The 13160-nt window shown below is 45.6% G+C and overlaps 2 annotated features.

The window, feature by feature from the left end:
• Positions 3253-3753: an enhancer, noted in NCBI's record as "H3K27ac hESC enhancer chr7:2896347-2896847 (GRCh37/hg19 assembly coordinates)". NCBI's record gives its function as "activates a minimal SCP1, AML or CMV promoter by ChIP-STARR-seq in primed H9 embryonic stem cells {active_cell/tissue: H9 hESC(primed)}" and the evidence as "EXISTENCE:reporter gene assay evidence [ECO:0000049][PMID:30033119]".
• Positions 8708-8827: a silencer, noted in NCBI's record as "silent region_17887". NCBI's record gives its function as "represses an Ori minimal core promoter by ATAC-STARR-seq in GM12878 lymphoblastoid cells {active_cell/tissue: GM12878}" and the evidence as "EXISTENCE:reporter gene assay evidence [ECO:0000049][PMID:35858748]".

Genomic DNA, 13160 nt, shown 5'->3' with positions numbered 1-13160 from the left:
CTACTAAAAATACAAAAAAATTAGCCAGGAGTGGTAGAGGGGGGCACCTGAAATCACAGCTACTTGGGAGGCTGGGGCAGGAGAATTGCTCGAACCTGGGAGGTGGAGGTTGTGGTGAGCCAAGATCCCGCCACTGCACTCCAGCCTGGGCAACAGAGCAAGACTCTGTCTCAAAAAAAAAAAAGCCATGAAAGGCAGCTCCCTCCTTCGTCACCACCGGGCTGATCCTTACTCATACCACTCCCATGTGGCACAGAGTGTCACAGTTCAGAGCATGGGCTCAGGGCCACCTGTCTGTCTTTGAATCCTGGCTCTGCCTGTAACTGGCTGTGTGATCCTAAGCAAATTCCTTAACCTCACTGGGCCTCGCTTTTCCTTATCTGTAAAGTGGGAACAATAAGAGTATGTACAATAGCACAATAGGACTAAAATCAAGATCCAAGGAGATAATACACATAAAGTCCTAAGGAGAGTGCCCGGCACAAAGTCGGCTCTCAAAAAATGTTAATTATTATCACTATCATGATCTTCATATGACACGAGATACAAATGACGCAGTGACGTGAAACCTCTCGCTCAAAATCACACGCTCGGTCGGGCCCAGTGGCTCATGCCTGTAATCCCAGCACTTTGGGAGGCTGAGGCAGGCAGATCCCCTGAGGTCAGGAGTTCGAGACCAGCCTGGCCCATATGATGAAACCCCTATCTCTACTAAAAGTACAAAAATTAGCCGGATGTGGTGGTGGCAGGCACCTGTAATCCCAGCTACTTGGGGGTGCTGAGGCAGAAGAATCACTTGAAACCAGGAAACGGGGGTTGCAGTGGGCCAAGATTGTGCCACTCCAGCCTGGGTGATAGAGCAAGGCTCCATCTCCAAATAAATAAATAAATACATATATAATTATATATATTATTTATATATAAATATATATATTATATATATAATTATATATAAATTTATATATAATTATATATAATTATATATAAATTTATATATAATTATATATAATTATATATAAATATATATAAATATATATAAATATATATATATATATATATATGTGGTGATTGGGCCAGAGGGCTCTACCCCACAGGTGGGATTATAAAAGGGTGAGTTCAGCTCCCTTTTGACTCTCTTTGTCCCTCTGCCATGGCAGGTTGCAGCAAGAAGTCCCTTGCCAGATGCTGGTATTGATTGATTGATTGATTGATTGACAGGGTCTCACTCTGTTGTCCAGGCTGGAATGCAGTAATGTGACCGTAGCTCACTGCAGTCTCAAGCTCCTGGGTTTAAACAATCCTCCAGCCTCAGCCTCCTGTAGCTGGGACTACAGGCACACGCTAGCAGGCCTGTTTTGTTTTGTTTTTTTAATTTTTTGTAGAGACTGGGTCTCACTGTGTTGGCTAGGCTGGTCTCGAAACTCCTGGCCTCAAGGAATCCTCTCGCTTCGGCCTCCCAAAGCACTGAGATTATAGGTGGGAATCACTGTGCCCAGCCAGGTGCTGACATTTTAATCTTGGACTTCCCAGCCTCCAGAACTGTGAGGAAATCAATTTCTATTCATTATAAATTCCCCAGCCTCGGGTATCCTGTTGTAGCTGCACAAATGGACTAAGACACTGGCCATGAGCACAACAGCTGCGACCAGCCCCCTTGGCATCTATCTCTAAGTTCATGGATGCCTCTTCATGCCTCTTTCCTTCATGGCTGAAGCAGACATTTGTTGAGGGGCTTCTGCCGGGGACAGTGGAGTGCCTCTGAGCTGTTCCTGTCCCCTGCCTGTCCCCACGCCAGGTTAGCCATGCACTAATGCATGTGTCTTCTAAAGGGACTGAACACAGATCTGGCACTTAAAAGAGATTCAAGGATTTTGCATGTTACAGATGAGGAAACTGAGGCTCTGTTTCTGACATGGGGCTTTGAGAGGGCTGAAGGGGTAAGCATCCACTCTTTGAGGTTTTGTGTTTTTTTTGGTTTTTTTTTGTTTTATGTTTTTTGTTTTTTGTTTTTTCAGACAGAGTCTTGCTCTGTCACCCAGGCTGGAGTGCAGTGGTGCAATCTCAGCTCACTGCAACCTCTGTCTCCCGGTTCAAGCAATTCTCCTGCCTCAGCCTCCCAAGTAGCTCGGATTACAGGCATGCACCACCACGCCTGGCTAATTTTTGTATTTTTAGTAGAAATGGGGTTTCCCCATGTCGGGCAGGATGGTCTCAATCTCCTGACCGTGATCTGCCTGCCTCGGCCTCCCAAAGTGCTGGGATTACAGGCATGAGCCACTGCACCCAGCCTTTTTTCTTTTCTTTTCTTTTTTTTTTTTTTTTTTGAGACAGAGTTTCACTCTTGTTGCCCAGGCTGGAGTGCAATGGTGCAATCTTGGCTCACTGCAACCTCTGCCTCCCGGGTTCAAGCGATTCTCCTGCCTCAGCCTCCCAAGTAGCTGGGATTACAGGTGTGAGTCACCATGCCTGGCTAATTTGGGTTTCACCATGTAGACCAGGCTGGTATCAAACTCCTGACCTCAGGTGATCCACCCACCTCAGCCTCCCAGGGTGCTGGGATTACAGGCATGAGCCACTGTGCCTGGCCTTTGGGGGGTTTTTGGCTTTAGGATGAACCAGACAGAGGCAGCGCTCAGGGACGGAAGAGCCACAGTGGCAAACACACAGGGGACGCAGACAATCAGTGGCTGCTGTAAATATCCGTGGAACACGGTCGATCTCAACGAGGGGCCGGGCTATGAGCACGGTCTCCCTGGAGACACTTAGCTATCCTCAGGGCACCTCGCAGGGGCTGAGGCCCTGCAATTATCCAGGTGCTGGTTTCCATGGCAACAAAAATCAGAAGGTAAAGTCAACAGGACCTTGTTTATTCTTGCAACCTGTGAATCCAGGGAGAATACAGGCAGCACCAGGGTATTTGACTAAAAACAACATCCCATTCCCCAGACAGGCTAGATAATAAAGCAGCTCCTGGCCTGTCACCTTTAACACGGGGAAAGCCCTTTCACCCTAGAACTACAGTTGCAAAGAAATCAGGTAATAGATTTTGTTTTCATCAGACCAGGCATGGTGGCTCAAGCCTGTAATCCAGCACTTTGGGAGGCTGAGGCAGGTAGGTCATCTGAGGTCAAGAGTTCAAGACCAGCCTGGCCAACATAGGGAAACCTCATCTCTACTAAAAATACAAAAATTAGCTGGGCGTGGTGGTGCACACCTGTAGTCCCAGCTACTCAGGAGGATGAGGCAGGAGAATCACATGAACCTGGAGGTGGAGGTTGCAATGAGCCAAGATCACACCATTGTACTCCAGCCTGGGCAATAGAGTGAGACTCCCACCATCTCAAAAAAAAAAAAAAAAAAAAATTGTATTCATCAGCTATTGCCATAGTAACACTGCATAACAAACTATCCTAAATCCAATGGCTTGAAACAATAGCCACTTCTTCTCAGTCACATGCCTTTGGTTTGACTGCGAATCAGCTGATCTAGGCTGTGCTCAGCTGGGATGTGTTGGGTCCAGGCCTGCTGTGTGTGTGTCTAGGTCGGCTGTGTGTACCTCTAGGCCTGCTGTGTGTGTGTCTGGGTCTGCTGTGTGTATCTCTAGGCCTGCTGTGTGTGTGTGTCTAGGTCTGCTGTATGTGTCTCTAGGCCTGCTGTGTGTGTGTCTAGGTCTGCTGTGTGTATCTCTAGGCCTGCTGTGTGTGTGTGTCTAGGTCTGCTGTATGTGTCTCTAGGCCTGCTGTGTGTGTGTGTCTAGGTCGGCTGTGTGTATCTCTAGGCCTGCTGTGTGTGTGTGTCTAGGTCTGCTGTGTGTGTCTCCTCCTCCTCGGACGTCTCCTCTCCAGGGCACAAGAGGCCAAGCCAACCCAAATATGGCATGCCTATTTCAAGCCTCTCCTTGCCTCATATCTGTTGATATCCCACTGGCCAAGGTAAGTTACAAGGTCAAGCCCAAAGACAATGGGAGAGGAAGAACACTTCTGCCTGCTGGGAGTCAGTGTCAAAGGTGTGAATGTATAGTCCAACTATAAGAGAGTGAAGAATCAGTAACAGTAATTCAATCTACAGTTTTTGAAGGCTACTCTATTAGCCTATTTTGATGATACAACAAGAAGGACCAGAGGAAGTCATATTGCACAGCAACCTGCCCCAGACAGAAAGGAATATGTTCAATCCAGGGCATAGTGGCTCATGCCTGTGATCCCCACACTTTGGGAGGCTGAGACAGGAGGATTGCTTGAGTCCAGGAGTTTCAAGACCAGCCTGGGCCACATAGTGAAACCCCCATCTCTACAAAAAATAAAAAGTTATCCAGGTGTGGTGGCACATGCCTGTAGTCCCAGCTAGTCAGGAGGCTGAGGCAGAAGATCACTTAAGCCTGGGAGGTCGAGGCTGCAGTGAGCTATGATCACACCACTGCACTCCAGCCTGGGTGACAGAGTGAGACCTTGTCCCTAAAAGAAAAAGAAATACGTTCAATCCGAGCAGTAAGATAGTTAAAATATTTTTAAGAGACCTTTAAGATTATTAAGGATGGCCAGGCATGGTGACTCACGCCTGTAATCCCAGCAATTTGGGAGGCCAAGGTGGGAGGATCACTTGAGGCCAGGAGTTTGAGACCAGCCTGGCCAACATGGCAAAACCCCGTCTTTAATAAAAATACAAAATAATTAGCCAGGCATGATGGTATGTGCCTGTAATCCAAGCTACTCAGGAGGCTGAGGCAGGAGAATCGCTTGAACCCAGGAGTCAGAGGTTAAAGTGAGTCTCATGGAGTGGCAGGCTGGAAACATAGCTTGGCTTCCATGAGCTATTCTGCTTGCCCTAGGTTAGTCCCATCCTTGGCCAACACCCCGCAAAAGGTTTGGTTTGCACCTGCCTGGTGCTGACATCATTAAAGGTCTCACACCTGACTCACTTGGCCACGCTTGAGCCTCTTGTATCCTGTTAGCCTTTTTCCTTCATAAGGTTTGTTTTGCTGTTCTTTTTCTAAGTCCTCCTTTTTCTTTTTTCTTTTTTTTTTTTTTTTTGGAGACTGTCTCACTCTGTCGCCCAGGCTGGAGCGCAGTGGCGTGATCATAGCTCACTGCAGCTTCAACCTCCCTGCTCAGGCGATCCTCACACCTCAGCCTCCCAAGTAGCTGGGACTATAGGCGTGCACCACCATGTCCAACTTAAGTCCTTATTTTGCATGTTGACATGCTGACATGCTGACATGCTGACATGGTGAGCTCAATAACATGCAACTGTTCTTTTTTTTTTTCTTTTTTTTTTTTTGAGACGGAGTCTCACTCTGTCAGCCCCCAGGCTGGAGTGCAGTGGCGCGATCTCTGCTCACTGCAAGCTCTGCCTCCCAGGTTCACTCCATTCTCCTGCCTCAGCCTCCCAAGTAGCTGGGACTACAGGCAGCCGCCACCATGCCCGGCTAATTTTTTGTATTTTTAGTAGAGACGGGGTTTCACCATGTTAGCCAGGATGGTCTCGATCTCATGACCTCGTGATCCGCCCGCCTCGGCCTCCCAAAGTGCTGGGATTACAGGCGTGAGCCACTATGCCCGGCCGCAACCATTCTTGTTTTATAACATAAGTCTGTAAGCCTATGAATTTCCCACTAGTTTCAGCCTTAGCTACATCATGAACGTTTTGATATGTAGTAATGTCACTGGTGTTCATTCTTAAATAGATCAAATTTTCTTTACATTTCATCTTTGCTTGATGAGTTTATTTAGAAGTGTATTTTTAACTTATGTATCTGTGGAGTTTTTAGAAGATATCTTTTAATGATTTCAAATGTAATTGCAACATGGTGAGAGAATGTGGCCTGTATGATACCACTCCTTTAAAATGTATTGAAACTTGCTTTGTGTCCTAGTATTTGGTCAGTTTTTGAAAATGTTTCTTGTATTTGAACAGAACATGTATTCTCTAATTCTTGGACACTGTATTAGTCTGTTCTCAAGCTGCTAATAAAGACATACCCTAGGGCCGGATGTGGTGGCTCACACCTGTAATGCCAGTGCTTTGGGATGTCACACCGGGCAAATCAAGAGGTCAGGAGTTCGAGACCAGCCTAACCAACATGGTGAAACCCCCATCTCTACTAAAAATACAAAAATAGGGCCGGGTGCGGTGGCTCAAGCCTGTAATCCCAGCACTTTGGGAGGCCGAAACGAGCAGATCACGAGGTCAGGAGTTTGAGACCAACCTGGCTGACATGGTGAAACCCCATCTCTACTAAAAATACAAAAATTAGCTGGATGTGGTGGTGTGTGCCTGTAGTCCCAGCTACTTGGGAGGCTGAGCCAAGAGAATCACTGGAACCCGGGAGGCAGAGGCTGCACTGAGCTGAGATCGCACCACTGCACTCCAGCCTGGGTGACAAAGTGAGACTCTTTCTTGGAAAAAAAAAAAAAAATACAAAAATTAGCCAGGCACGGTGGTGTGCACCTGTAATCCCAGCTACTCAGGAGGCTGAGGCAGGAGAATTGCTTGAACCCAGGAGGCGGAGGTTGCAGCGAGCCGAGATTGTGCCACTGCACTCCAGCCTGGTTGACAGAGCAAGACTCTGTCTCAGAAAAAAAAAAAAAAAAAGACATACCCAAGACCAGGTAATTTATAAAGGAAAGAGGTTCAATTGACTGACAGTTCCACATGGCTGGGGAGGCCTCACAATCATGGTGAGAGAGTAAGGGATGTCTTACATGGTGGCAGGCAAGAAGAACTTGTGGAGGGAACTCCCCTTCATAAACCATCAGATCTCATGAGACTTGTTCACTATCAGCACGGGAAAGACCCGCCCCATGATTCAATTACCTCCCACCAAGTCCCTCCCACAACATGTGGGAATTATGGGAGCTACAATTCAAGGTGAGATTTGGGTGGGGATGCAGCCAAACCATAGAAGACACACAGTTCGAAATGTATTTATTAGGCCAAACTTGTTCACTGTTGCTTCAGTGATCTGTTGGTGCATAACTAACCACTACAGATTTTAGTGGCTTAAAACACTATTTTGTCATGAATCTGCACCCTGGGCTGGACTCAGCTGGGCAGGCAGGCTAATATTTCCTACGACTGTATTCTGCTAGCAGATTGACTGAAGGCTTGGCTCAGCTGGGACCTTGGGATGAGTAGGACTCTCTTCCTCCCCACGTACTCTCAGGCCCTTTACCTCTCCCATGGGTCTCTCCAAAAGAGTAGCTGGACTTCCTACATGACTCACAGGGCTCCAGAAACACAAAAACAAAGCTATCAGGCTTTCTTAAGGCTTAGACTTGGAACTGGTAGAATATTGCGTCTGCCACATTCTATTTGTCAAAATAAGTTCCAGCCCAATCCAGATTTAAGTGGAGGGGTTACACAAGGGAATGGATACCTGGAGAAGTGGTTCATTTGGAGACTACTCATATATTAGACTGCTACAATTGTATTTTTCAGCTGTTTGAACTATTAATTACTAGAAGAGATATACTTAACCCACACTCACACCCAGCAGTGAGGATGGATTCCTCAGTTTCTCCTTTATGTTCTCTTAGTTTTGAGCCTTTATTTTTTTTTTTTTTTTTTCAGACAGGGTCTTGCTCTGTCTCCCATACTGGAGCGCAGCAGCACAATCATGGCTCACTGCAGCCTCAGCCTCTCCAGTTCAAGTGATCATGCCCCTTCAGCCACCCAAGTAACTGGGAAATAGCCATGTACCACTATGCTTGGCTAATTTTTTAAATTTTTGTAGAGACAGGGTGTCACTATATTACCTGGGCTGGTCTGGAACTCCTGAACTCAAGCAATCTTCCTGCCTTGGCCTCCCAAAATGCTAGGATTATAGGCATAAGCCACTGCAGCCAGCCTGGCCTTAAATATTTGAGGCTATATTATTAGGTGCATACAAGTTTAGAATGGTTATACCTTGCTTTTATTGCATATATGACCCTCTCTATCACTAGTAATTCTAATTCTTTTAGGCTTAAAATCTATTTTGCCTTCTATTAATATTGATATGCTATACTTATTATGGTTAATACTTGCGTGGTAAATCTTTCTCCATTCTTTTACTTTGATCTTTGATCTTTTCTGGGTCCTTAATGGGTGTGTCTCTTTTTTTATTTATTTTATTTATTTATTTTATTATTATTATTTTTTTTAGACAGAGTCCCACTGTGTCACCAGGCTGGAGTGCAGTGGCACAATCTCGGCTCACTGCAACCTCCAACTCCCTGGTTCAGGCTATTCTCCTGCCTCAGCCTCTTGAGTAGCTGGGATTACAGGCACGCACCACCACGCCCAGCTCATTTTTTAAAAATATTTTTAGTAGAGATGGGGTTTCACCATGTTGGCCAGGATGGTCTCTATCTCGTGACCTTGTGATCCGCCCACCTCATCCTCCCAAAGTGTGGTGTGTCTCTTATAAGCATATAGCTGGTCTTTGTTTATTTTTATTTTTTGTTTATTTTTTGAGATGGAGTCTCACTTTGCTACCCAGGCTGGAGTGCAGCGGTGCGATCTCGGCTCACTGCAATATCTGCCTCCCAGGTTCAAGTGATTCTCCTGCCTCAGCCTCCTGAGTAGCTGGGATTACAGGCATGTGCCACCACACCTGGCTAATTTTTGTATTTTTATTAGAGAGGGTTTCACTATATTGGTCAGGCTGGTCTCGAACTTCTGACCTCAGGTATCCACCCACCTCAACCTCCCAAAATGCTGGGATTACAGGTGTGAGCCACTGTGCCGGCCAGAAGGTCAGATTTACAAGGGTTCTGCAGATGCCCCTGAGGCAGCTAGAGGCCTCACAGTGTGTCAGTTTAACTCTGAATTTCTGCTTTCACTTTGATTTTAGCCTCTGAGGCTTTCTTACTCAGCTCAGTAACACTTAAAAAAAAAAACAAAAAAAAAAACCTTCTGTGTGGTTTGTACAGCATTTTAAATTGTTGCTGCAGGAGGGTTGATCTGAGTGTTTTGCTCACTATACTGTCAGAAAAGGGAATCTATTATTTCTTTAAATATTTCCTCCTCTCCATCTCTTTCCCCTTCCTCTTGGAACTCACAGTTCACATATTAGAACTCCTGGATCTCTCCTCTAACTGTCCTGCCCTTCCTCTTATAATTCCCATCTCTTTATACTTGTTCTCTGGGTTTTGAGATTTTTTTTTTTTTTAATCTTCTAGGTCTCTTGTTTTGTTATCAATGTTTACCATTCCCTCTTCCATTAATTTTTTAAAATTATGATTTGCTGTTGTTGTACAATGTCTTTTCTTTTCTTTCTTTTTCTTTTCTTTTTTTTCTTTTTTTTTTTTTTGAGACAGATTCTCACTGTGTCACCCAGGTTGGAGTGCAGTGGCATGATCTTGGCTCACTGCAACCTCCATCTCCTGGGTTCAAGCAATTCTCCTGCCTCAGCCTCATGAGTAGCAGTGATTACAGGCGTGCACCACCACACCCGGCTAATTTTTGTATTTTTAGTAGAGAGAAGGTTTCACCATGTTGACCTGGCTGGTCTTGAACTCCTGACCTCAGGTGATTCACCTGCCTCAGCCTCCCAAAATGCTGGGATTACAGGCATGAGCCACTGTCCCCAGCCAAATACAATGTCTTTTTATGCCATTGACAATTCTTCTAAGGTGGAACCATGGTGATAGTGATGGTGGTGATGATGAAGATGGTGATAGTGATGCTGATAGTGATGGTGGTGATATGATGATGGTGATGGTGGTGATGATAGTGATGGTGGTGATAGTGATGGTGGTGATGTTGATGGTGGTGGTGATGGTGATAGTGATGGTGATGATGGTGATGGTGATAATGATGGTGATGGTGATGGTGATGGTGATAATGATGGTGGTGATAGGGTGATAGTGATAGTGATGGTGGTGGTGGTGGTGGTTATGATGTGATGGTGATAGTGATGGTGGTGATTATAGTGATGATGATAGTGATGGTGGTGATGGTGGTGGTGATGATGGTGATGGTGATGATGCTGATAGTGATGGTCGTGATGATGGTGTTGGTATTGGTGATAGTGATGGTGGTGATGATGGTGACAGTGATGGTGGTGATGATGATGATGGTGTTGGTGTTGGTGATAGTGATGGTGGTGATGATGATTATGATGATCTGATGGTGATGGTGACAGTGATGGTGACGATGATGGTGATGGTGATAGTGATGGTGGCAATGATGGTGATGGTGATGATGCTGATAGTGATGGTGGTGATTATGGTGGTGGCGATAGTGATGGTGGTGATGATGGTGGTGGTGGTGATGATGGTGATAGTGATAGTGATGGTGGTAATTATAGTGATGGTGATAGCGAAGGTGGTGATGATGATGGTGGTGGTGGTGATGATGGTGATGGTGATGATGCTGATAGTGATGGTGGTGATGATGGTGACAGTGATGGTGGTGGTGATGATGATGATGGTGCTGGTGTTGGTGATAGTGATGGTGGTGATGATGATTATGATGATCACGATGGTGATGGTGACAGTGATGTGACAATGGTGATAGTGATGGTGGTGACAATGATGGCGATATAAAGTTTCCATTCATTCATTTACCATTATGTGAGATATCCTACTTTTTCTTCTTCTCTCTGGCACCTCGGTCCCCTTAAGTCTATTGACATTTTCTTATTCTCACTCATAGCTCTTTGGCTTTCAGGGGGAGCCTTTAGGGTCTCCTATGCAGTGGAGAAAGGTAAGGTAACAGGCAGGATGCCACTCCTGTGATGAGCACCAGGAGGAAGGGAAGAGGTCTCAGAGCTGAAGTTGTTGGCAGCTCCCATGTTCAGGGATGGGGGAAATCTCCCAGTCCTCTCACCCCACAGAGCTCTCAGACTGTACTAGTTCGTTTTCACGCTGCTGATAAAGGCATACCTGAGACTGGGCAATTTACAAAAGAAAGAGGTTTAATGGACTCACAGTTCTATGTTGCTGGGGAGGCCTCACAATCATGGTGGAAGGTGAAAGGCACTTCTTACATGGCGGCAGATAACAGAAGAATGACAGCCAAGTGAAAGGGGTCTCCCCTTATAAAACCATCAGATCTCGTGAGACTTATTCACTACCACAAGAACAGTCTGGGGGAATCATGGGGGAAATCACCCCATGATTCAATTATCTCTCATGGGTCCCTCCCACAACATGAGGGAATTATGGGAGCTACAATTAAAGATGAGATTTGGGTGGGGACACAGCCAAACCATATCACCCACATTCTCCCCAGGCCAGAAAGGCCCTACTAGGACCTCAAAAGGAGACTGCATGCATGGGACCTAAGGGGATCCTGTTCCTATTGGGAATCCCAGCGTCTTGGGCCCTATACCAGGCCTCTGAGTTCCTGATCCCCTCACTGCTGGCCCACTGGAGAGTGAGAGTCCCTGTGGCTGCTTCCTTTCCTAGAGATTTCAGGTGAGCTTACCGTGTCACATGAAGGTTTCAGGCCCTGCTGTCGGACTCCCCCTTCCTGGCTTCTCCTTAGCTCCAGAGGTGGAACTGAATACAAGTTGGGAGGAACATTCAGTCTATTCCTCCTACTCTCTACCAATTTTTTTTAACAGCTGGTAGACCAAGAAAGCATGTCTGTGGGCCATCTATTTACACATTTTAGTCTTGCATATTCTTTTTAGGAATAATATGTTATTTTGTTTGTTTTTTGAGACAGTCTCGCTCTGTTGCCCAGGCTGGAGTGCAGTGGTGCGATATCAGTTCACTGTAACCCCTGCCTCCTGGATTCAAGCGATTCTCCTGCCTCAGTCTCCCAAGTAGCACGTGCCTCCACACCCAGCTAATTTTTGTATTTTTAGTAGAGAGAAGGTTTCACCATGTTGACCTGGCTGGTCTCAAACTCCAGATCTCAGATGATCTGCCCACCTCGGCCTCCCAAAGTGCTAGGATTACAGGCGTGAGCCACCATGCCTGGCCAGGAATAATATGTTATTGTACTTATATGGATGTACCTTAATTTATTTGACCAGACCACCTCCCAGGTTTTAATTTTTAATATCATACCATACAAGGTATTGTCTTTATAGATTCTTCCCCAGCCTGCCACTATTATTCTAAATTTGCAATACCCGATTCCCAAAGCTCCACGATGATAATAATAACAATATGACCATTTACTGAGGGCCTGTTATGTGCTAAGGTCCAGTTCTAGGACCTTATCTGTATTAACTTATTTAAGGTGTAGTACAGCTTTATTTTCATCCTGATTTTACAGACAAGGAAACTACGTCTCAGAGATACTGTATGACTTGTTGAAGGTCACACAGCTGGTAGGTGATGGAGCCAAACTTCAAAGTTCTCATGTTTTTCTCCATCCTATTATACACAGAGAATGCTGTGTGTCAGACTTCCAGTTCGGGGTTTGCAGTGTACTAACCATACTTCCCTTGCCAGGAGAGCTTAGCCACCTGGATTCAGATACTGGTAAGGCAGTCACCTTTCCCCAGCAGTGTAGAGAGGGCAAATGAGATAATGCACCTGTAAGTACTTCAAAACTTTTAGCATGCCGTACAAACAGAAGGGATAATTAAGAGATTATTGTGGACTATGCAGATAACCTTGTTTATTTAAAGCACCTTAGCCCATTGACACGTGTGGAGATGTCCAGAGACCTGGTCAAATCCTCAAATCGAATATTGCCGACAGCAGAAGAATTTCTCCCATAAAATGCCATAATGTGTCATTTAAAAATGTAAGTAACTCTTGGCCAGGCCCGGTGGCTCACACCTGTAATCCCAGCACTTTGGGAGGGCGAGGCAGGTGGATCACTTGAGGTCAGGAGTTTGAGACCAGCCTGGCCAATGTGATAAAACCCCACCTCTTTTAAAATACAAAAATTGGCCAAGCATGGTGGTGTGTGCGTGTAATCCCAGCTACTCAGGAAGCTGAGGCAGGAGAATAGCTTGGACCTGGGAGGCAGAAGTTGTAGTGAGCCGAGATTGCACCACTGCACTCCAACCTGGGCAACAGAGCTGCATCACAAAAAAAAAAAAAAAAAAAAAAAAAAAGAAAAGTAAATAACTCTTTAAAATGTTTAATGATTACATAAACACAAGGCATAAAGCTATAAAGATTTAAAAAAAATAGAGACAGAGTCTTGTTCTGTTGTTCAGGCTGGTGTGCAGTGGTACAATCATAGCTCACTGCAGCCTCAAACTCCTG

The sequence above is a fragment of the Homo sapiens genome, chromosome 7, assembly GCF_000001405.40.
Source record: "Homo sapiens chromosome 7, GRCh38.p14 Primary Assembly".
Lineage (NCBI taxonomy): Eukaryota > Metazoa > Chordata > Mammalia > Primates > Hominidae > Homo > Homo sapiens.
This window is presented reverse-complemented; position numbering and strand designations above follow the sequence as displayed.